We start from the raw sequence: 25,884 nt of genomic DNA, 5'->3' as shown, positions 1-25,884 counted from the left end.
GATAAAACTTCAGGAAGTCAGAAAGGGTCAAATCATGAAAGATAATATATGTCGGCTTCAGAACTTTATGAAAATGCTGGCACTTCACAATGCAAAGAAAAACAAACAAAAAAGAAAAAAAATAAAGGCCTATTTCAATGTTTGCCTATTCCCAAAAGATTTTGGATAGATAAAAATTTAATCACTCCTTTTGGAAGCAGTGAGACTCATGGTTGATTTGGAATTCTCATTTTATACATCAACCCCACCTCAACTCTGCTCTTTTTGGGCTTTCCTTTTAAAGTTGCACTTCTGCTGGCCAGCAACTGATTTATGCTGAATCCTAAGTAGTATTCAGGGAACACTGGAGAGGTTGAGAGATGCAGATTCACAATTCGACACATTGTAATAAATCCAAATAAAAAGACAGCCTCTGACCTACATGATTCCTTTTCATCCTAAGAGGGGTGCCAAGTTATTTCTGTTGTCACAATGTTACATAAAGTATGTCAGGTGCCAGCTGAAGTTAGACTTGGGGTGTGGGCAGTTCCAGCTAAAGAAGCTATATGCTAAGCTGTAGCGGCCGTAGTATTTCAGGACCATTTTTACTCAGAACTCAACCATCCTGAAAAAAATTGGGGCAGAATAAGGTGAGACACTCAATTCATATGTAGTTTCAGCAGTGGGGAGAAAATATTTGCAAAGAGGAAGCCTGATAGTAAAAATAAAAGATTGGAAATGGGTCACTCCTAGGCAGAACTAATGTAGTAGATCTTTTAGCTCAGAAAAAGAATGTAGAAGACAAATCAGAGTTGAAAAGGTAAAGGAGTGCAGATGAAGGTAGCAGGTAGAGTGATCATAAGAACTGAAATTGGGTAGGCTTGATGGGTTCGGGTCAGAGAAAGATCAGGATTAGAGATGGAGGTGCCGCCTTCCAGGAAGCAAACAGGATAATATCAGTCAAGATGGGCTCCTGTGTGTGCCCGTATGCCCATTTGCTCCTCATGCTGTATTTCTGCTTTATTTCCAGGGAAAATCTTTGTGACCTCAGACAATGTATGATACTTAAATCTTTGTGAATCAGCTGTATGCTAAAGGTCATGCCTACAGGATGACCCTGGCTTAACGACTGTGTTCTTGTGGCCCCTAGATGATGAAAAAGATTGCGTCCATCAGGCATAGAGAGATTATATCTGTCCCTTCACCTAATCAGTCAGTAAATGTGTTTTGAGGATTCTGCAACACATGCTACCTGATACAATTAGAAGTTAAAATAGTTAATAGAGGCTTTTATCAATGCTCCTAGCCTAAGTTGCTTAGAATCCACTGCAGAAGCTAAATAGAAACACATTCAGGTTAAATAACAAAAGGGAAAGAAAATATCACAATGTAACATTTCAAGAAGTATCACAAAGAAGTGCATAATCAATTGATTAATGGACTACAATGTGAATTGTACAACAATGTATAATATATAAATGATATATAATAACATTATTCAACTCAGTTATTTTTACATTAGCAATTTTTATGACTCTATTACTTCGTTTATAACTTCAGTGTGTGATTATCTGCCTAATAACAGTCCAAGAAATAGTATTGCTGTCTGGAAAAAGTGATTATGCAATATGAAAAAAGAAAACAGGGATTGTATTTTTTAATAAAACTAAAATATTATCATTGTAGAAATGTAAATGACTAATAAATAATATACTCAGTAATACAAATTAAAACAATAAGATGTAATTTTCTACCAAGCAATTTGTCAAAGATTTTTCAAAATTTCAAATTTGTCAAGGATATTATGACCCAATTTCACATATGAGTGGGAATATAAGTGAATACAAACTTCTGGAAAGCAGTTAGGCAATATGTTTCAAGAGCCCTAAGCACATTCCTACCTTTTGACCCAGCAATTCAGCCTTTTTATATTTAATGAAATAGTCTTGTTTGTATAAAGATATATATATATAGATTTTTATGAGAAACAATCTAGTAATTTAAATGACCTACATTTCCAATAAATATACGAGTGGCTCATTGAGAGCATATTCAAATGATGGGTGGTTATAGCTGTGACAGAAGATATTTTTGAAGAAGACTTATTGACATGAGAAAATGCTAAAAATAAAATCTGCTTCAGAATGCTTGGGCCTTTTGATTTACCGGGGCAATGATGGGCCTGTGCACTCTTTCTTTTGCCAAATTACATAATCAGTTTATCTATCTAGAAATGCCATTTCTTATGCTTTTCTTAGACAGATATTCACATATTGAATTGATATGCAAAGTAACAAAGTCAGATAAAAATTGCTAATATAAAAATAATATGAGTTGAATAATGTTATGCACCATGTGCATATAATACATTGTTGTACATCTCCATTTTAATCCCTTAATATACTGCAGGGCAGTGATGGGTAGGTAATGAGTGTTGCAGAGACATCTCATCCCACTTCAGTACTGAACCCTTGTTCCCACATCCTACCACCCCTAGGTCTAACGGTAAGTCTCAACAAATAGACTTTGACAGAAATAAGGTCCAGGGCTGCAGCCAGACTCAAAATCTACCAATCAATAAATAAAAGAAAGAGGAGGAGACTTGAGACAATCCAGTTTGGATCCAGGAAATCCATAGCAGTGTTCCTGAAAAGGTCTGTGGAGCCAGAGGTTAAGGACCAATCCAATTCAGAGTTGTTTCACATGTTATGATAGAAATGAGAAAAAGTATATAACGGCCTCAGCTCAGAACAGTGATCTCTGTGATGTAGCTCTTGCATCTATCTGGCTACTTCAGAGCTCCGTGATGTTAGAAACCTCCCTGAGCCACGTTTTCCTCTATTTAAAACAAAATTCATAGTTATCTGCCTGAGCTCTAAATTTCTGTAATTCTCCAATTCTGACATATTGTATATTTTTAATATAAATTTTTAAAAGAGAACGTCAGGATAAAATAAGGTATACAAAATGGCTTAAAAACTACTTCACAAACCATATTGTATTCTTCTGTATAATATCCTTTGCTAAAGAAATAGTCTTAAACCATCTTCCTTTTCTAACAATGTAGTCAAATTATTTTAAACATATTTGGTGAAATTTAGCACAAAACATTTAAATGCACAGCCGAGTTGAATATCAAAGTCTTTATACTTGGTTTATTTGTAAAGAATAGGTTAACATTTTACTGTGACCTCTCATATTTAAATACGAAAGAAGAGTTCCAAAAAACATCAGTATTTATACCTGTGAAGTGCCAACATACTTAGGTGTTAAAAAACTTTATTTTTCAGAAGTTCAGATTTTGATTGCATAGAAGTGTTTATTTTCACAGTAGCCAGACAAATAAATAGATACAAAGTGCTTTTATAACCTGAAGGCAAAGTCATTCCAGCTAGTATGTAGGTCATCAGCTGTTTTCTGGATTCGGTTTTTGTCCAAACAAATACTTCTTTTCACTCTTCATTGACTATTAAAGCCCACTACCATTCTTCAAATGTTATTTTTCAAATTCTTTTCCATTAGTGAAATCTTGAAAATCTTAAAATGCAGAATTTAGAGTAGGATTCAATGGAATAAAGACAACTCACATGGTAAGTATGAGGGACTAAACAGAGGGGCGGGTAGCATGGGGGTGGCGCAGTGTCACACTATTCTTCAGCACAGATGGAATCAGCAGCCCCTGCTCAATGTGATTGGAGAGCCTCCAAGCTCTTTCTGTCGTTAACATTTCCCTCATTAATCTGGTTTGATTTCTTCTTCCCCACTTACTTGGCCTGGAGTTTTTTTATTTTTAGAATCTTAGTGATTAAGAAAATAAAGGCAGAATAATCTCTTTGTGTGACAGCTTGGTATAGCAGTAAGAACATAAATAATTTCTGCAATCAAGCTCCTTTTTTAATCTTGGCTCAACTACTAAAACTTAACCTATCTGGATCTCAGTTTTTCAAAATGTGGCAAGAGAAAGAAAGAACATTTTTACTTCTAGCTTAAAGGGTTGTTTTGAGAATCAAAGGATATCAGTACTACATATGACAGTGCTTCACAGACCGGATGACACTGTGTAAAAATTAGGCCACTTTAAAGTATATGCTTTATTTAATAGGAAAATAGGGGACCCTCTATCTTTTTGAAACATTAGTTGCTCAACTTAGTTAATTGTCACCATCTAAAGAGCGAAGTGGTTCAAGAAAATTAAGTGAGGTGTGTGGCAACAACAAACTAGGAGGGAAAGTTTACTACCTCCCTCCCAATCAGGGGCTCCGAGTAATTAGGTATTTTTTGGTGGGAAGTATAGTTCCTTTGCTTCCAGGTGAAAAACTTAGAGTTGAAATTTACATCTCAGGTCTTCTCATGAGAACTACCTGTGTCCACCTAAAATGAAACTCTTGCTTCCTTCGCCTTTCCTGTCCTGCTCCATGTCCCTGTCTCCTTTCTGGATGCTCCTGGAAACACATCCTTAATGCATCACTTGCAACTCCATCCTCGGCTTTGGATCTGCATCTGGGATAAGCCAACTTAAGAAACCCAACAAATGAATTTTTTTATTAAATCAACAAATATTTATTGAGCATCTACTAAATTCCACCACTGTTCTTTCCCATATGGCAGAGGGGAACAAAACAAACTTCTTCTCCACGCATCTTATATTTTACTGGGAAGAGTGAGAAAATAAATAAATGAATAGGTCTATGACACTATTCAGCAGTAAAAATTCTTTGACAAAAAATGAACCAGAGTAATTTAGGGAGGGGATAGAGAAAACGTAAAGTACTATTTAGATAGAGAGGTCAGAAAAGGCCACTCTGAGAAGTCACTGTTGATTATGAACAGAAAACATCATCCGCCCAAATATTATGTTGTTACTTTTTAATGTTGACGATTATGTTGGCTTAAGCCTGTGTGAGAACTTAACATGTGCTGAGCTCTCGGATAGGTCATGAGAAGCCACTTCCTCACAGAAGAATAGAAGAGGCATGGGGCTGAGATTGAGTTGAGGAGCTGTTTGGGCGTGCATGGGAAGGGATGCATCCATTTCCTGCCCCTGTGTCCCAGCAACACAGGACAGAGGTAGGAGGAGATGTGGAGATGCTGAGGTATGTTCTAAAGATTGAGATATTGAGACCATTCAGCCATATGGGAACCCAGTAAAGGGGCTTATTCCGTTGGTCTCTTGCTCTTCTTTCAGGGAAAACATGTACTCTTACCTATTTGTATGCTGCATAGGAGTGTGCGTGCTTTTCTGTGTGCAGAAAAGCTCTTTCTGTCATTAATATTTCCTTCAGTGGTATTTCTTAAATGTTAGTTGATTAGAAAAGTGTGTGTGTGTGTTTCTGTGTGTATATGTGTGCACACACATACCAAACTTTGTTTTACACATATAAATACACCATTGTTTAAACCAATTATTGTGATGGGACAAATAGTAATATACAATTAAAATATGCATATCTACATAGACTATATTGCATGTTATTACTCTAAGTTCACTTTTATTTATATAGATTCGTCCTTTTTCACATCCTTCATTTCTAAAACTGCAATCTTTTTCTTTAAAGCATTTGATTTTTGCCTGTGATTGCATTAAATGCATGCTAAAATAGAGCTAATATATAATGTATCCTAGACTTCTATGTATTTCAACCCTTGGAGACAAATCAAAACTGAAATATAACTCATGATTCATTTTGTAAAATTCAAGTTTCCCATAATCTTAATAAAATCTTCTCAAACTAAGCATCCAAAACGAGCTATTCAATAATCAAATACTGCTGGCTTTGTTTCCTGGGAGGAAAGGCTAAATGGAACATTTTAAGCAAATCATGGATGCAAATGTAATGCATTACTTCAGAGCCTCTGTGCCTGATTTCAAGAATATCAGTTCACTGGGCTGTACCAGGATCTAGTCCAAAATGAATGAACCATGTGGACTTAAAAGTGGATCTGGATGGCAACAATTCACCACAGGTTATTTCCATCCTGTGAGATTGCATTCCCCTTGTTCCGTTTCTGTGAATAAAGAAAAAATAAATAGGTCTAGCAATGTAATTCCTTATTGTATTGATCAGACTCTCAGCATTAAAAATGTCTGCCCTTTAACCTTTTCCTCTTCATAAATCTTTCAGTGACTCAGATGAGCATGACATGAATGTGTTCCCCAGAAGACACTGTAAGCAATACTTTTTTTATTACTGACAGTGTAAAAAATGGACATGTTTTAAGCCCTCTACAAATTGCTATTTAAAAACACAAGACATGATTGATCACCAGATGGAGCAGTAAAAATGAAAACTGGGAGATAAAGATGGAATACAAATATTTAATCATAAATGGGAAAACAATGAAAATCTGAGGATAGCTATATTCTGCTTGCAGATAATAACCTTTCATATGAGAATGACTCACTTATGGAGTCTAACATAGGGACATAAATCCAGTTGCATCATAAATACAAATTTTTGCCTGGAACACACTTGCTTATGACTGAAAACATTTGTTTAGCTATTCTAACTTGGAAAAGTCTAATATATTAGAATTTTGACATCACACCAGTCAAGAAACATTACTTCTTATACCAAGAAAAAAGTCTTGGCTGTGTCCTCACCCAAACCTCATCTTGAACTGTAGTTCCCATAATCCCTGCACATCATGGGAGGGACCCAGTGGGAGGTAATTGAATCGTGGAGGCCGTTACCTTCATGCTGTTCTTGTGATGTGGATGAGTTCTCACGAGATCTGATGGTTTTGTAAGGGGCTTTCCCCACCTTGTCTCTGCACTTCTCCTTGTTGCCTGTTGTGAAGAAGGACATGATTGCTTCCCCTCCCACCACAATTGTAAGGTGTAAGTTCAGCACGGCTGAGGTCTCCCCAGCCATGCTGAAGTGTGAGTCAATTAAACCTCTTTCCTTTATAAATAACACAGTCTCGGGTATGTCTTTATTAGCAGCATGAGAACAGACTAATACAGTCTAATATATTAGAATTTTGACACCACACCAGTCAAGAAACATTACTTCTTATACCAAGAAAAAAGTCACTTTCTTCTATAACTTAAAGAAAGTATGACAGCATCACAAAGCACATTGAAAGCATTTTGAGAAGACATTGGATGCAGAATAGTACAGGCCTTATGAAATACTTTCTTTGGTATTAAATAGTTCAGCTCTCAAGGGTTCCAGGACATTGATGAAACAGAAATTTATTTAAAAATATTTAACAGATGGCATTGCATTATTCCTTTATGCAACTGAAGTATTTAAAATCGCTCACACATGAAAATAACATGTTAGACAAAACAAATTATTTAATCAAAAATTAATTATTAGTTTAATAAGACATGGATATTGAAGTTCAACACACAAAGATATTGGGATAAGTATAGGAATTGACTTTTCTGTCACAATGTAAATTACAATAAAAATAATAACTATATGAGAAGTTCTGTTATGAGTTTTCCAGCACTTAGTGCAAGCATTGAAATGTAGTATTCACTAAAGAAAGCATGTTAAATTTATTAAATCAAAGCATTTTGTGTCAACTACTTGTGTACATTAACTTCTCTCCACCCCACAGCACCCAACAGAGAAACTGTGCTTACTGTCATATCCATTCACTATCCCATCCTCACATTTTGAAAAGTCCAGCCTCTAAATGTTAATAATTTGGCCTCTGCCCAAATACACTGCAATAAATCAAAATACTTACTGTGAAGGATGGTATTTGTGAATATCTGGTATTATCATACTGAACATGACTTTAGTATTTGTTTCTATAATGCCTGATGGCAGGTTTGTCTTACAGTTTTGACATAATTCTTCAAGTTTACAGTTTTACATATTTAGTCCAACCTCCTGGTTCATTGGCAGTAAAGAGTCAGGGAGAACAGGGCAGTGTCTTCTCATAAAAAATCTAATGTGAGAGTCACATAATTGCTTGTATAAAGGATTAGTATTTAAGATGCATGAATGGCTTGAATTTTAAGACTAAAGAAAGGTAATAACGGTCTTCTTGGTTCCCTGCCTTCTTATAATCTGTCAGAGTACCAATCATGCTAACACATTAAGGAGGGTTCAACTGACAAAAGAGAAACAAGGTAAGCTTCCCAAAATAATTCTTTCTTAATCAATGTGTGTGATTCCAGTGATCAGTTCTTCCAGGTCCACATAAAACATCTTCTCAAACATCATCTGATTGTGACCATCCATTTCTGGTACTTTTATTCTTTTAGTTTTGAATTTTCTTATTGTCCAGTTTTGACCAAATTATCCACCTGTGCACTAAATTCACCTGACAAAGCCATGTTAATAAGTAATTTGAAAACACCTCAGTAACTCTACCTTTTGTGATATATTTTCTCATCAAAAGCAAATAAAGACAATGAGTACACAAAAAATAAAAATTAAGAAACTAAATCATATCAGAAGAGAAAATCACCTTCACTAGAGAAAGACAGGAAGAAAATGAAGAAGGAAGAGAAGATCATAAAACAACGAGAAAACAAATAGCAAAGCAGCAGGAATAAGTCCTTACTTCTCAATAATAACATTGACTGTAAATGGACTAAATTCTCCAATCAAAAGACATAGAGTGGCTGAATGATTGAAAAAACAAGACCCATTGATCTGTTTCCTTCTAGAAACACACTTCACTTATAAAAACAAACATAGACTGAAAATAAAGACATGGGAAAAAGATATTTCATGCCAATGGAAATAAAAAAAAAAGCAGGAGTTGCTATACTTACATTAGACAAAATAAATTTCAAGACAAAAACTATAAGAAGCAACAAAGAAGGTTACTATGTAATGATAAATGGGTCAATTCAGCAAAAGGATATAAAAATTTAAAATATATGTACACCCAACACTGGAGCACCCAAATATATAAAGGAAATATTATAAGAGTTAGAGAGATAGGCCTTAATACAATAATAGCTGGAGACTACAATACCCCATTTTCAGCACTGGACAGATCTTCCAGGTAGAAAATTAACAAAGAAACCACAGACTTAATCTGCAATATAGACCAAATGGATCTAATAGCTATTTGCAGAACATTTCATCCAAGAGCTGAAGCATATATAGTGTTTCCTTAACACACAGATTGTTCTCAAGGATAGATCATATATTAGGTCACAAAATAAGTCTTAAGAGTATTCAAAAATTTGAAATATTATCAAGCATCTTCTCTGACCACAATGAAATAAAACTATAAATTAATAACCAGGTAATTTTTGGAAACTATACAAATACATGGAAATTAAACAATATGCTCCTGAATGAACAGTAAGTCAAACAAAAAATAAAGAAGAAATTTAAAAAATTTCTTGAAACAAATGATTATGGCAACACAACATAGCAAAACCTATGGAATACAGTAAAAGCAATACTAAGAGGGAAGTTTATAGCTATCAGGGCCTACATCAAAAAATAGGAAAAATTTCAAATGAACAATCTAACAATGCATCTTAAAGAACTAGAAAAGCAGGACAAACAAAACCTAAAATTAATAGAAAAAAAATGAAGGTCAGAGAAGAAATAAATGAAATTTAAATTTAAAAACACAAGAGATCAATGAAACAAAATGTTGTTTTTTTGAAAAGTTAAACAAAATTGACAAACCTTCAGTCAGACTAAGAAAAAGAGAAGATCCAAATGAATAAAATCAGAAATGAAAAAGGAGACATTACAACTGATACCGCAGAAATTCAAATAATCATTACTGGCTACTATCATCAACTATATGCCAATAAATTAGAAAATCTAGAAGAAATAAACCAGTTCCAAGACACATACAAACTACCAAGACTGAACTGGGAAGAAATCCAAAACCTCAACAGACCAATAACAAGTAACAAGAGCGAAGCCATAATAAAAAGTCTCCCAGTAAAGAAAAGCCTGGATCCTGATGGTTTCACTGCTGAATTCTACCAGACATTTAAAAAAATAATTAATACCATTCCTACTGAAACTATTCCAAAAAATATTAGAGGAGGGAATACTTACACACTTATTCTACAAGGCCAGTGTTATCTTGATACCCAAACCAGACAAAGACACATCAAAAAAAGAAAACTACAGGCCAATCTCTGATGGATATTGATGCAAAAATCCTCAACAAAATACTAGTTAAGCAAATTCAACAATACATTAGAAAGATCATTCATCATGACCAAGTGGGATTTATCACTGGGATGCCAGGTTTGTTAAATGTACACAAATCAATCAATGTGGTAGATTATAAGAACAGACTAAAAGACAAAAACCATATGATTATTTCAATTGGTGCTGAAAAAACGTGATAAAATTAAATAACCCTTCATGATAAAAACCTTCAAAAAACATGGTAGGCCGGGCGCGGTGGCTCACGCCTGTAATCCCAGCACTTTGGGAGGCCGAGGCGGGCGGATCACGAGGTCAGGAGATCGAGACCATCCCGGCTAAAACGGTGAAACCCCGTCTCTACTAAAAATACAAAAAATTAGCCGGGCGTAGTGGCGGGCGCCTGTAGTCCCAGCTACTTGGGAGGCTGAGGCAGGAGAATGGCGTGAACCCGGGAGGCGGAGCTTGCAGTGAGCCGAGATCCCGCCACTGCACTCCAGCCTGGGCAACAGAGCGAGACTCTGTCTCAAAAAAAAAAAAAAAAAAAAAAAAAAAAAAAAAAAAACATGGTATAGAAGGAACATACCTCAAAATAATAAAAACCATATATGACAGAGCTACAGCTAGTATCATGCTGAATGGGGAAAAACTGAAAGTCTTTCGCCTAAGATCTGGAACAAAACAAGGATGGCCACTGTCACCACTTATTCAACATAGTACTGGAACTCCTATCTAGAGCAGTCAGACAAGAGAAAAATATAAAGGGCATCCACAATGAAAAGGAAGAAGTCAAATTGTCCTTGTTTGCAGATGATATAACCTTACATTTGGAAAAACCTAAAGACTCCATAGGAAAATGATTAGAAGTGATACATTCAGTAAAGTTTCAGGATACAAAATCAACATACAAAAATCAGTAGTATTTCTATATGCCAACAGTGAACAACGTAAGAAAAGAAATAAAAGTAATCCCACTTACAATAGCCATGCATAAAATTAAATACCAAGGAATTAACTTAACCAAAGAAGTGAAAGACCTCTATAATGAAAACAATAAAACACTGTTGAAAGAAATTCAAGAGGACATTAAAAAATGGGAAAATATTTCATGTTCATGGATTGGAAGAATCAATATTGTTAAATATTCACACTACCTAAAGAAATCTACATATTCAATACAATCCTTATCAAAATAGCAATGACTTTCTTCACAGAAATAGAAAAATATATCCTAAAACTTACACACAACCACAAAAGAATAGCAACAAGAATAGCCAAAACTATCCTAAGAAAAAAGACCAAAACTGGAGGAATCACAATATCCAGCTTCAAATTATACTACAGAGCTATAGTAACCAAAATAACATGATACTGGCCTAAAAACATACAGACATATAGACCAATGGAACAGAATAGAGAACCCAGAAACAAATGCACACACCTCCAGTGAACTCGTTGTTGATGAAGGTACCAAGAACCTACACTGGGGAAAAGATAGTCTCTTCAATAAATGGTGTTGGGAAAATTGAATATCCAAACGCATAAGAATGAATCTAGACCCTTATCCAACACCATATATAAAAATAAAATCAAAATGAATTAAAGATTTAAATCTAAGACCTCAAACTATAAAACTACTATAAGGAAACACTGGGGAAAATTTCCAGGACATTGGTCTGTACAAAGACTTCTTGAGCCATACCCTGCAAGTACAGGCAACTAAAGCAAAAACGGACAAATGGGATCACATCAGGTTAAAAAGCTTCCGCACAACAAAGGATACAATCAACAAAGTGAAGAAACAGCCCACATAATGGGAGAAATATTGGCAAACTACCCACCTTATAGGAATCAATAACCAGAATATATAAGGAGCTCAAACAACTCTATTCTAAATAGTCTAATTTTGACCAGATTGGTCAAAATATGGGCAAAATATTTGAATAGACATTTCTCAAAAGAAGACATACAAATGAAAAACAAGTACATGAAAAGGTTCTCAACATCATTGATCTTCAGAGAAATGCAAACCAGAGCTATAATGAGATATCACCTCATCCCAGTTAAAATGGCTTATATTCAAAAGTCAGGCAATAACAAATGCTGGCAAGGATGTGAAGAAACGGGAACACTAGTACACTGTTGGCAGGAATGTAAATTAGTACCACCACTATGGAGAACAGTTTGGAGGTTCCTCAAAAAACGACAATTGGACCTACCATATGATCCAGCAATCCAATAGCTGGGTCTATACCCAAAAGACAGGAAGTCAATATATTAAAGATATATCTACACTCCTATGTTTGTTGCAGCACTGTTTACAATAGCTACGATTTGGAAGCAACCTAAGTCTCCATCAACAGATGAATGGATAAAGAAAATGTGGTACATATATACAATAGAGTAGTACTGTTCAGCCATAAAAAAAGAGTGAGTCCCAGTCGTTTGCAACACCATGGATGGAACTGAGATATCATTACATTAAGTGAAAAAAACCAGGCACAGAAAGACAAACATCACATGTTCTCACTTATTTGTGTGATCTAAAAATAAAAACCACTGAACCTGTGAACACAGAGAGTAGAGGGATGGTTACCAGAGGCTGGGAAGGGTTATGGGGGTATAGAGGGGAGGTGTGGATGGTTAATGAGTACAAAAAAAATAGAAAGAATAAATAACACCCATTATTTGATAGCACAATAGAGTGACCATAATCAATAATAACTTAATTGTATATTTTAAAATAATAAAAAGAGTTTAATTGGATTGTTTGTAACTCAAAGGATAAATGCTTGATGAGAAAGAGACCCCATTCCTTATCATGTGCTTATTTCAAATACATGCCTGAATCAAAACATCTTGTGTACTCCATAAATATATATACCTACTATGTACTCACGCAAATTTTATACATTTTAAATATCTTTTAAAAATTATTTTTCTCAGCCAATTGATGAAAGTACAACTGTCAAAAATCCCCTATTGGTGCAACAACAAAATGCAAATAAAGACCAATTCACTAATGTTGGACTGTTAATAAAAATTTTTCCTTTTGTTCATTTCAGTTTCTCATAATCTAATGAGTTCATATTAGTTTTCCAGTATCTCACTGTTTGTGGAACATCCAAATTGTAGCTCAGAGCCCTGGAATTCAAACTATTCAATAATGCCAGTGGTGATTCACTCAAGAATGCAGTTCATTCACAGAGAATGCTTAGCGGAGTATACAGTAATCCATAGCAATCTTCCCTTCCAGTTCTTTTCTGCCACTTCTAGGTAATACGGATATGAGTAAATAATACTTTCCTGGAGGAGACCATTTGCTCTATTAGATTTCGGGTTCTTACATTCTTAACACTCCATCATTTCTTACTAGGTCTATTAGCCTTCTGAGAAAAAATAGAAAATTCAGCTGTGTCAAGTCAACCAATTGCCACCTAGATGGTGGCTTGACAGGAAGTCTAGCATGAGCCTTGTTCACTGCTGTTTTCCTTAGGTAGGTGCCCACTGCTGGGTCCATGGGTGCTAGCTGAATTAATACAAAGTTCTCTCTTGATAGGAAAAGAAAGTGATTTGATAAATACAGTGTTCAGTAGTATCAAATGTTGAATAAGTTCACTTATCTTATTGCCTGGGTGATTATTTAGTTGTTTAAGGGATTGCACCCAATAGAAAAAGTTTTACTCTCAGATAGAAACAGAGTCTTATGTAAAATGGTTTAATGATACCTCATAAAGTTATGAATAGTAAATGCAGTAATATCTGCCAAGTGGCTAAGGTATGATGCTTAGTACAATTAGATGTGGTCAGCAAATGTTTATGTTCAGTGTTAATATTGAGTGTAGGTGAGGTTGTTTATAATGCCACTAAAGGTAAAAATTAATATATCCTGTACAGTTTGCACTAGCAACTCAATAAAGTGGCCTCAAAAGAAAAGTAGAAGAGAAATAGTATACCTTGCTAATTCTAGATGATAGTATAATACAGATGTTAGATGTTGCTGTCTTTATCTTAGAAAGTTGATTAGCAAAAAGCAAAATGGTAGCTGAAGTTTGTGTTCAAATCCAGAATTATAATGCAGCAGCACAGACACCAGAAACCCTGAACTATGACCCTCACATGGACCTGCTTCTCCTATACCTCACCATACCTTCTATATTCCAATTTTTTCATCTGAAATTTTCAATTCTGAGTATTATAGTTTTGACAGTAGTTCTTTGTATCAGCTGGATCATCTGCTGTTATCTTTGAGAAGATGCTGATGAATTAAAAGTGGTTGCTTTTAATTGAGAGCGTATATTTGCACTTTAATAGTGTTCTGCTGTTGGCTTGAGTCACTCAAGAGTGACTCAGGATTCAGGATCTCATACTCCCACTCTGGCTTCTCTGACTCATTTTTTCCAAAGGAAGACTCATTTATCCAGTGAGTAAAAAACTGTGTTCCCTAGTTTCTTTTTTTTCTGGGATCCTTAACTATATATTTACCACTCTATTATGAAGTCATCTTCTAGTGTATGTTTTGCACTGCAGCCATCACCCCTGGATTCTGGATGCAGAAGGAACATTGTGGACAAGGGATGGGGAGGAAGTAGAAATATGGTTCCAGTCTGGGGCTGAGTTTCATCTTCCAATCCAGGTTTTATTGGTTTTTAAAACTTAATTTTTGAATATTCATTTGACTCCTGTGCTTGTTTCTCAATTGCTTCAGAGGAAAAGGGTAAGATGATTACCTAAATTATTCATGTAAATTTCTTAAACCTCACAGTAAACAATCTGTGTCTTTGAATTCATGAGAGACCATTCTATGACTCTCCAGGCACATGATAATTTGGGAAAGAAAAAACAAAACAAACTTGAATGTGGAAATATGATCACTTATGACAGAAGAGCTGATGATTATTCAGAAATATAGTTATCCACATCTTTGGTAAGAAAGGCATATCAGAAGTTGGACATCCATTATTCTTCCAGTAACAGCTGACTCCCAGAGTGACAAGCAGACATAGATGGTAGATTCCTTTGTCAGTCACCAGTAATTCCAACTTTGAAAACAAGGCCGCTACATGTTACTTTTTCATTTTTCCATCACTTACACTGTTTCTGACAGAAGGCTGAGGTAAAGGTGCCAATGTGGGAGTTGAATATTTAGCATTGAGGTTTCTTGCCTTTATCCTTTTACACTGCTAATTTTTATTTACTTTTTTTTTTTGCAAATATGTCTGCTTCCTCATAAAGATCAAGTCTCTGAAAATAATTATACAGTTATTAATTGAAATGAAGAGTCAAATTCTATTTTTAAAACAGAAGTCTCATACATTCTTAAAATTGGAAAGCAGTCTCAAGAGTAGGGAAAACACTTTTCTTTTTGTAGCAGACAGCATTTTATTTGATTCACAATGAATAGGGTTTCTCCTGCCTGACAGCTACACGTGCTGGGCTTAACAGCAGTACATAGGTGTACTTGGAGAGAGAGAAAAGTATATTTTGGAATATTACAGGATGTTAGCGTTTATTATTATGATTTTAATATTCCCTGAAGTTTGCAAAATAGTTTACTACTTAAGTCAACCTTTAAGGGATTTTGATTCCTGAACAATTCTACATGTTCACTAATGTTTCTCCCCCTTGTCTTATTTTTACTTCATGGCAAAATGATGGGATTTAACTTTATTTGGTGGGTGAATGGGTTAAAATTTTTGGTAATGCTCTCTTCTGGTACAAAAGATGAAATCGTTCTGTCATTCCTTTACTTGAAAAAAAATTTTTTATATAAATGTATTTGGAAGTTTTTCATTTATTGAAGACAGTAACATAAAAGTGTTACTTCTATTTTGATGTTGTAAATGCTGTTTGAATACCCCTGCACATATAGCATTTCAAATGGGTAAAAGTGTATCTTTTGGATAAAGTCCAAAGAATGGAATTATTGGGTTGAAGAGTAGATGCATTTATACATTTAGTATGTTGCTAATTCTACCCATAGCGATAGGGTCTCTTACACTGCCACCAGCACTGCTGCAACTCAGCAAATCAGTAAAATTGAATTTTTGCCAAATAGAAAGGTAAAAGAATCAGTAAAGGCTTAGTTTGTGTTTTTCTAATTATGAACAAAGTTGAATATTTTGTTAATGTTTAAAGGTCATATTACTTTCTATTCTGTAAACAATGTCTTTATTGTGTTACATAGTTCTCTATGACTGTGTCGATCTTTTCCTTATCTAGTCATATGAGCTCTTTATGTATTAAGAATATGGTAATTTGTCTCTTATATGAGTAGTGGATGGTTTTCTGGATTATTATTATTTTAGCTTTGCTTATGATTTTTTTGTGGTATAGATTTATTTATTTTTATGGAGTTGAATTTAACAATTTAAAAAATATTTTGTGTATTAGAATTTGAAATAGTATAAGAAAGTCTCCTTCCACTTGAGGTGATAAAATAATTCTGTATTTTCTTCAGCTATATTTATGTCTTTATTTTATATATTTGAATGTTGTAGCCAGTTGGACTATATCCTGGTAGTTGATGTGATGTGTTAATGCTAATTAATATTCTTATCACACGATTTTCTACTTGTTTCCACATCATTTATTGCCTAATCTATTGATAAAGTCAGTTTGTTTCTGAGTTTTCTATTCTTTCCCATTGGACTTTCTTTTTCTTCATGTGTTAGTAGTATACTGTTTTACTTATTGAAAGCATCAATCTTGAAGGGCTAGTTTATCTTCTGTGCATTGAAATCCTGAAAGGCTAGTTTATCTTCTGTGCTTTCTTTCTAAGTTTTCCTTCTGTACTTTCTTATTTATTTTTCCTTGGAAGTTTACATTGATTTAGCTTGTCTAGTTCCATTGTGTTTTTAAAAAGGACTTGTGTGTTTGCATTTGATTCATATTTATTATTCATATAAATTACCTTAGAAAAGTTATCTTTATTCAACAGAGTAAGTGTTCAAAACCTGGCTCATTCCAACCCTTTTGCATCTCAGGCCTCTCACTCATGAATGTGACTCATTCTTCATATATTGTATAATATGTAACAAATATATTCAAAAGTTTGCTTTGATCATGGTTGTTTCCCATTCAACAAACATTAATGGAGACATTTGGCTAATCATAGTACTTAACTAGCTATGTGGGCTATGAAATACTGCACAAATCACTTTGAATTTTTCTGTCTTCCTTGCCCACATTTTCCACCCTGGACAAATGTCTTACCCAATCTCTGGCATGCACCCCTTTTTAGGAACAAATCACACCTGCACTGACCATCTCAAATAAGAGTGCTTGCTCTTTCTTTTGAAATATGCTTTTACTTCCTCTCTGTGTCAGTCATTTGCCTCTTGCCTTTGACTTTAAGGCTAATGACCATTTTACATGTAGCATTTCCTTTTTTTTTTTTTTTTTTCTTTTTGAGACATAGTCTTGCTCAGTCACCCAGGCTGGAGTGCCGGGGTGTGATCTCAGCTCACTGCAACCTCTACCTCCCAGATTTCAGCGATTCTCCTTCCTCCGCCTCCCAAGTAGCTGGGATTACAGGCATCCTCCACCATGCCAGGCTAATTTTTGTATTTTTAATAGAGATAGGATTTCACCATGTTGGCCAGGCTGGTCTCCAACTCCTGACCTCAAGTGATCCACCTGCCTAGGCCTCCCAAAATGCTGGGATTACAGGTGTGAGCCACCATGGTTAGCCGTAGCTTCTTAATTAGATCATGAATCAGTTAAAGAAAGGTACTAATTCATAAATGTTTTCTTTTTTTCATATTCCTATAGACAAGAATACGGGTCACAGGGAGTAGGGGAGGGTGCATGTATGTCTACTCTCTTTGCATTAGTTTCTCAGGATTCTTCATCTCCTCTAAGTGTTTGTCCCTAGCAATTCAACATAAAAAAGCTCACCTCCCTCTATTCTAAATAATGAATTAAATATTTGACTCTGTTCCAATAAGCAGACAGTTCTTTTTTTTTTACAGCAGCAAGACAATATTCACAATCCTGCCTTTTGTAATTAATCCAGTTTTTAATCATGAACAGAACTTTCCCTCTCCTTCTGTTGCCAAGAATTTACAGGTTCTTGGGAATTGACATGCAACAAAAAATGGATTTGTCCAGGGGCAGAAGCTAACTCTGTGGTCTCTGGTAAAGTTGGACCATAGATAGGCCAGATGGCAAAAAAGCTTCTTGTGTGTTCTCTAAATGTAGGTACAGATTCCCACTGTCAGGTGATACTCAGGATAAAAATATCTCTTTTAAGAGGCATTGAAAGTCTAAATTGAATACATCTGGCAAACCTCCTTTATTTACTCTGCGTTAAGCATCGTAAAGTATCCTTTCAAGGCAGAGAGGGAATGATTTACATTTGCAAAGCTCAGGCTGATTTATTCCTAAAGAGTTTTGCTCACCCAGATGATTTGTGTTCCACCTTCCAAGATCTTTCAAACTAGCTTTCCAGGTGCAGAGGTGAGAGTTGCCAGTGTATAATTTTTGGATTACCCTTCACTCCCTTCTGCAAGATTTTCAACACTTTGGCTATGCTCCAATCTCCAGCTATAGTCTCTGCTTGAAAGGATAAATTACATATTTTTTGTAATTATATAGAAATAAAAACACATTTTACCAGTGAAGATGCCAAATCTGCCAACTATCTTAAAACATCTTTATTCTCATGCACCCGAATCTAAAAATAAGTTCTATTTCATATTAGATCCCTTTTGCAGTGTTTTACCACTGCAAAAGCTTTAATGAATCTTAAAAACAAGTACCCTAAATTTAAAAGACTTAGAATTAGATAGTATAATTAATGATCACTTTAAGAAAGGTATAGCAGAGTAGTTGTTTTAGACATCAGACAAGACCAGAAACTAAGATAACAGTTATTCTGTAGGGACTTATCCTTTATCTTTAATCTTTAGCTTACAAAGACATTGAAATAGGGCTCACATCTATGATTCTCTACTTAACCAATTATGAAACACATGATTCCTAAAAAGTTGTAATTAATTTTTAAAGTATGAATAGGAGGTAGGCATTACCCATGTAGACAAAGTGCTTAAAAGAAGAGTTGCTAAAGTATGAACCTTAAAGCATTAGGTAGTCAGAGAAATAGCAATATTTTGGATCTTATCTACAAACTCCAGCTGTGTGGTTCCTCTACATAGAGATATCCTGCATTAGTTATTTAATTACTTAACATCAATGCATTAATACATTTGATCAATAAAATAATTGAACTTTATCTCAGGAGCATTTGGTTAGAGCATGGACCAGCATGTTTGAAATGGCATTAAGGATGATAACTTTGCATTAAAATTTAAATCTCTCCTTAAATTTATCCAGGAAAATAGTGTGTAAAGCCGTTGAAATAAATCTAATTGAAGAAAATTATTACTAGAAGGGAAATTAAAGCCAACAATAAATTAAAGTCACACAAGTATTAATAAATGATAAATAATGAATAATAGTCAATTAAAAGGAAATTAAACAATGATATTCCCATAAGAGAGGTAAATGAACAATAAGACTTATTAAATTGCATTGATCAGTGTGTAAATATATCCCTAGACCAAATGCATTTGAGCAAGTTCATTAGCCTCCCCCAAGCAAAAACCCAAATCCATGACCTGGCATTTTAAATAGTTTACTAAAATGGATATGGAGCGAGAACAATTGGAATTGACCATCACTCTCTGAATGTTCTTACACAAACACTTGCGTAGACATCAATATCCTAGCATTTTTCACACAGCAATTATTTTATTTACTTTTTATTAAAATAACACATAAAATTAAAAAAATACCTAAATACTACCAAAGGGTGTGCAATGAAGTTAACATAAACACCTCAATATTCCTCAGACCCAGCTCCCTTATCCAGAAGCAACAATTTACAAAGATTTCTACATTTAATTTGTCAATGAATACCCTGAGAATTATCAACAGTAACACACCCCAAAAAAGTAAAAAGTAAACTTTCTTGCAGATTTTTCAAATTTACCCATTATCTATTAATATCTCACTCTAAAAGGCCAGGCTTTTAACTCACCACCCATATATCCACTCCGCACTCCCAATAGTTATCTCATAATTCTCTGTTTCTATCTTCACTGTTCCCATCTGCAAATTCAAGTGATTATTTATGGTCTATGAACCTTAATTTTTATGCCTTGACACCCCCTTTCTAAGATGAGGGCATTGGTGCACCCATTTCCTCCAACTTATCTTTATTAACTCCCTGTATTTTTGCTTTTATATCCTTATCTTAAAGCAAAGTTAATTATCTCATAATCTGTCTACAGGTTTATCATAAAAGTATAGTGCAAATGTAAATTAGAGTTTAGAATAGGGCCAGGTAGTGTGTTGATTACATCTTCTCCTTTGTGATATGCTGATATATTTATATTCTGTTATGGTCCTTCTGATCTAAACTAGACAATAGGTCAATTACAAAGTGACATGTCAGAGCTTATCTTGTTCTCTTGTATTTATTTCCCGATTTTCACATTTTCCTTTCTTACTCATTTAATTTGCTGGAATATGACCACAATTAATTTCCTAAGGAAATTTTTTTCAAACATACTTCCTGAGTTCTTTCAGATTTCAAAGCATTTTATTCATTCCTAACATTTTAGTGAAAGTATTCATGAGTATGTAAGTCTACATCGAAAATCATTTCTGCTGAGAATTTTGAAAGCACGTTTCCGTTTTTATCTATAATGCTAAATGAATGATAGTCTGATTATATGTCATTTACAGGTGATTTTAGGATTTTTTTCTTATGTTTCACAATGATGTGACTAAATATTTTAAGGTATAGTACATGGAAAGCCTTTTAAGTTAGGTTGGTTTCTCTTTTTAGCTTTTAAAGAATTTTTGGTACTATGTCTTTGATCATTTCATCTTTGTTCTCTTCATGCTTTTTACCAATAACTTCTTTTAGCCAAGTGTTAGCCATCCTGAACTATATTTTTTTCTCTTCCATATTCCTTTATTTTTATTGTAGTTATATTAAATGAGCAATTAACTTCATATTTATTTTCCAACTTTCCTATTTAATATGTTGTTTCAATAATGACTTTAACTTCCAAGATTTTTTCTCCTCATTAACCTCCCTCCTTCCCTCTCTCCCTTCCTCCCTCCTTCCCTCCCTCCCTCCCTCCCTCCCTTCCTTCCTTCCTTCCTTCCCTTTCTCTTTATTTTTTTCTTACTTTCTTTCTTTCTTTTTCTAATTCTCATGGCCAAAACCTCAAATCCGCCTGAGGAGACTTTTAAACATTATTTTGGTTTCCTATATTACCCTTTATTTACTCAGGATTAGTTTTTACTTAATATATCTTCATCATTCTATTTCATGTTGCAGTACCTTTATGAACTTACGGTGAGTCATGGTAGTCAAACCATACTTAACGATAAGGATCTAAGAAGATTGACAGAGAGACTGTGTCCAGCACAAAATGCTTTAGAGAAAGAAATCATGGGGGTGAATCTTATGCTGCAGGACTCATATATAACAGGACAAGAAAGTACAAAGAAGACTTCACTCTAGGTCTCTGTTACTTAAATTAACCAACCTTATTTTCCTCAGATGGCTTTGTCAAACTTGTATTTGTCCCTGGGGTAAAGGGCTTCAATGCTGAGCATCGAGCATAAGGAGTTGGAGAAAGAGATGTGGGTGATTTACCTCTGCCATGTAAGTCCTCCATTATTTGTCTTGTCTTAGTCCTATTTCTTCCTTGTACCCATCAAAGCATTGGCATTTCTTAGTCTGCATCTTCTTGGGGGTTCTGCTGAATAAGTCCGCTTTTCATTAGCTGCAACTTTCTTTTCAAGTGTTCTAGGTTTTGTCTTTCTGTTCTTGGATTAATGACTCACGCATTCATCTCTTTTTGTCTGTCAGAAATGTGTTTAAACCTGTCTTTAATTGATGCCCCCACCCTGCTCTCAGCTGTCAACTTATTTATTTACCTTTTTTACCTTTATTTTACTTGCATGTTGGGACCTGAAAAAAGTGGAGGTGGGTACGTACCAATGCTTTATCTACTATCTTGCCCTGACGAATCCACCTCTCACATGAAACAGTGAGTTACTGAAAGGCAGCAATTGTACCTTTTTGTCTTTGTATTTCTAGTGCTTATCTTGGGGCCTGGAATATATTACATGTTCAAAAAAGTGTGGGATAAAAGAAAACAAAGATACTTCTATCCTAGGCAGATGTGTGGTATCTAAAGGTCATGGCATTGTCACTGCACAATTCTTGCAGAAAGCAAGGCTGTGCTGTGTGAAGCAAAATGTCGCAACAAAGTCTGCCATCATTCCAAATCCTTCATGTGATAATTTCTGAATTAAAGTGTTATTATAATGAGGAAAAATGAGGAAATGGCAAATTTTCTTAATAAGGAAAATAGTAAAACCATGAGCCTGTGAAATTAATAAGACTTTATAAATGCAATATATTTACAATGAAAATCTCATGCAAGGGAAATATTTAAATTACATGAAATCCTTGCACAGAACAGCAATGATAAATATATTTGGATTTAATGGCATGTACTCATCAAATACTCATATCTGTGCATCATATAAAACATTTATATACAATTACATTTGTCACCAATGCAGGCGGTTGATAGCTCAGTAACTCATTCTATGTCATTGATTCAGAACAATGATCTTTAAATATTACCTACATGGTAGCTCTGCAGGGGTTTTAAATGAGTAACGTTATTATAACTTCTAAGTGTTTATGGGGAACATGCAATGTAATTCAACATCATAGTGAAATGTTGTCTTTTTAAAAAGACAAAGTAAACCAAAGCAGTGTGTTTTCTTTTTCAAAACTCAGTGAACATTTTTCTAAATGCCATTTCGTATCTTACTTACATAAAAGAGAGAAAAGATAAATTCCTACTTAAAAGTCAACTGACACCCTGATGCTATACAATTACCACCCCATTACGCTAGTGTTTCAGACGAGGAAATAGAATCCTAAAGATAGTTTAATGTGCGCTCAATACTACAAAGTTATTTACAGTGTTAGAACTAGAAATAAGAACACCTGGATTCTAGCTCAATCTATTACTCTTTGTATTACGCAGTTTATGGCCCATATGTGGAAAAATCAGGGAAAACAGGAAACCATCTGAAAGATAATGGTTTGAGTAGACCTATGCTTTAAAAGACTGGTCTTCAGGTCCAAAGAAAACAAGGAACGATTCTTTACAAACTATATCCACAAAGAATTCAAGGGAACAAAGCAGCTTAAGACAACCTGGGCCTTAAAAGAGGAAACTAGGGATGTTGTTTCGTGATTTCTCATTAATAGTTTCTGAATGACTGAATATGGATTGCTGCCAGTTAGGGCTGGTGTCACCTTTCTCAATGACACATCCATGTTGTTCTCCACATAGCACTTCTATCGACCCATACTGACATGAACCACACCTTAAGAGTGTACCCTCTTTGGTAAGAAGATGAAAAACTTGGCAGCACAGATGGCACTGTCATCACATAGTCTTACTGAGAGTTAGGAGTTGAGAAAATAACCTAACATGTGAACAATGAATGTGCAGATGGTATCAATAAACAGCATCTGAATTCCTGGATAATGGAATTGCATGTCAGAATTACGAGCTCATAGCTGGGGGTGAAGTTCACCTTATGAGTAAAAGAAAAATTATTTTTACTAGAGCCTGCAGTGCCTGCTCAGAGGGCTTTGTTCTAAATATAGATCAATGGAGGAGAAAAAGGTAGTAAATGTCAGACAATGACTAGCGAATGAGCAAAGCACAAACAAAAGGGGGATAAATGGTTTAGATGATGTCACATATCATCACAAAATGTCTGGCTGGGGTTACCTGGTTGCCCCTCTGGCCACTTGCCCAGGAATGTACCTTGGCAACTATGTGCTCATTTTTGTTCTGAGGCTTTTGTGGCCTTGTAAAAATATTTGAAACAGTAGTCTGAAAAATGTAACATGATTAATAAAAGATCAACTGTTATTGGTTTCCGTATGGGATATGTCTAGGCAGAAGACTGTTATTTTCTATAACAAGAGGATTCTACTCAGACACTATAAAACATTTTCTGAGGCTCAGTCTCAGTAAGCTGTAAGTAGAATGTGCTGTCCTAAAACATAAAAGTAAATCTTTTCCTAAATATTTGCTTCAAGGAGCATATTTCAGTAGATGCAGCATAGTATGAAGACACAAGAATTTGCTAGACAACCTCTGCCTAGGCTTTCCAGCACAGGGTGTCCTTTCAGACAGTGATGCACATCAGTGAAACAAAGGGCAGGAACAGGGATGTCTGTCTGATCTTACAGAGGAGCTGCCCTTTGGATGACTATAATGTCTAACTATTTTAAGCCCTATATCTGGGTTTCCTGAGTTTTTACCTCTGCCTCCAATTGTCTATGCTTGGAAGAGTAATAATTAGTTCTGTAATTCTTTAATATTCACATATGTAATTATTACTTTGCATTCATTGAGCTGTGAAAATTTCTGTCTTCTGCTTTAGAGATATCGGATTGGCAAAAATAAATGAATTTCATCTGAAGAGAATTAACACAAGCATACACATATACACAGGAGTGCACATAAAAATTAATCTTCAAGAGGATAGAAACAGGGGATGGTGTAGTTCCTGCCATGAAGTACAGATCAACTGGTACCAGAGATTCAAAATTGTGGAATGGATCATGGGGATTTCTCTCTTCCCTGTCATAAAGAGTAATTCAATCAGGAAAACTGACATGCATTGTTGTATTGTGGGTGCAACAGCTGAGAAGATGAAAAAGACATAGAGAAAGGGGATATTGGAAATAAAAGGATGTTAAAATGATATAATTTTTAAGAAGGTTGAGAAGGAATATGGGATATTTATATTCCTCTAAATTTGATAGATAATGATGTCCACAAAGAAGAGTTTGCTGAAATAATTTTAAATTTTGGTGAGCACAGACTATCAATGCCAAACGCAATGGGTAATTTTCTGTGTCAGCTTGGCTAGGCTGTGATCTCCAAGTGTTTGTTCAAACAGCAATCGTAGATGTCCTTGTGAAGGTATTTTTAGGTAAGATTAACATTTAAATCAGTAGTCTTTGAGTAAAGCAGATGACCTGCAATAATGTGAGTGGGTCTCAAATTTGTTTTAAGTTGAAGGCCTTAAGAGAGAAAGATTAAGGTCATCCATGAAAGAGGGAATTCTGCTACCAGATTGCATTTGGACTCAAGCTGCAATATCAGCTCTTCCCTGGGTCTCCAACCTGACAGCCTGTCCTATAGATAAGAGCTTGCCAGTCCCCACAATCACATGACACATGAGCCAGTCCTTTTTTTTTTAGCCAATTCTTTAAAATTCTTCTCCTCTCTCTCTCTCTCTCTCCCCCGCCTCTCCCTCTCTCTCTCCCTTCTTTCTCTGTGTATACACATGCACGCGTGCACGCGCGCACACACACACACACACACACACACTCATCCTATTAGTTCCGTTTCTCTGGAGAACCCAGACTAATGTACTTCCTCAGTAATTGTTTTAGCATTCTGGATTCTGTTACTTTACTATCAGCCTTAAAATTGCAAAAAGAAGAAGGAAAGTTTTATCAACCATTTCAGACACTAAGTTTTCAGCCTTTTGGGATCAAGGAAAATACAATCCATATGTTTTGGACTCACTTGCTATTATCCAGAACATTATATCGGAGATGGTTTAAAATTTCTGGCTGGTTCAATATACGCAAATCAATAAATGTAATCCAGCATATAAACAGAACCAAAGACAAAAACCACATGATTATCTCAATAGATGCAGAAAA

General features: G+C 35.0%; 1 long non-coding RNA gene across 2 annotated transcripts, besides 2 other annotated features; it reads right to left on the bottom strand.

Annotated features, from left to right (window-relative positions):
• Positions 1–4,515: 4,515 nt before the first annotated feature.
• Positions 4,516–21,871, bottom strand: LINC02879 (long intergenic non-protein coding RNA 2879). 2 transcript variants are annotated; one of them, NR_186852.1, is made up of 3 exons: positions 21,644–21,871; positions 6,671–6,766; positions 4,516–5,985 (listed from the first exon to the last, which is right to left on the bottom strand). It is a non-coding gene; the product is annotated as a long intergenic non-protein coding RNA 2879 (long non-coding RNA). The 2 variants fall into 2 exon arrangements; NR_186853.1 differs by having other exon boundaries at positions 21,754–21,871.
• Positions 13,714–14,913: an enhancer, noted in NCBI's record as "P300/CBP strongly-dependent group 1 enhancer chr18:26743780-26744979 (GRCh37/hg19 assembly coordinates)". NCBI's record gives its function as "activates an origin of replication core promoter dependent on BRD2, BRD4, P300/CBP, MED14 and CDK7 cofactors, with strong dependence on P300/CBP, by STARR-seq in HCT116 cells {active_cell/tissue: HCT116}" and the evidence as "EXISTENCE:reporter gene assay evidence [ECO:0000049][PMID:35650434]".
• Positions 23,247–24,446: an enhancer, noted in NCBI's record as "P300/CBP strongly-dependent group 1 enhancer chr18:26734247-26735446 (GRCh37/hg19 assembly coordinates)". NCBI's record gives its function as "activates an origin of replication core promoter dependent on BRD2, BRD4, P300/CBP, MED14 and CDK7 cofactors, with strong dependence on P300/CBP, by STARR-seq in HCT116 cells {active_cell/tissue: HCT116}" and the evidence as "EXISTENCE:reporter gene assay evidence [ECO:0000049][PMID:35650434]".

The sequence above is a fragment of the Homo sapiens genome, chromosome 18 (assembly GCF_000001405.40).
Source record: "Homo sapiens chromosome 18, GRCh38.p14 Primary Assembly".
Classification (NCBI taxonomy): Eukaryota; Metazoa; Chordata; class Mammalia; order Primates; family Hominidae; genus Homo; species Homo sapiens.
The sequence above is the reverse complement of the archived record's forward strand: the minus strand, read 5'-3'. Positions and strand labels throughout refer to the sequence as shown.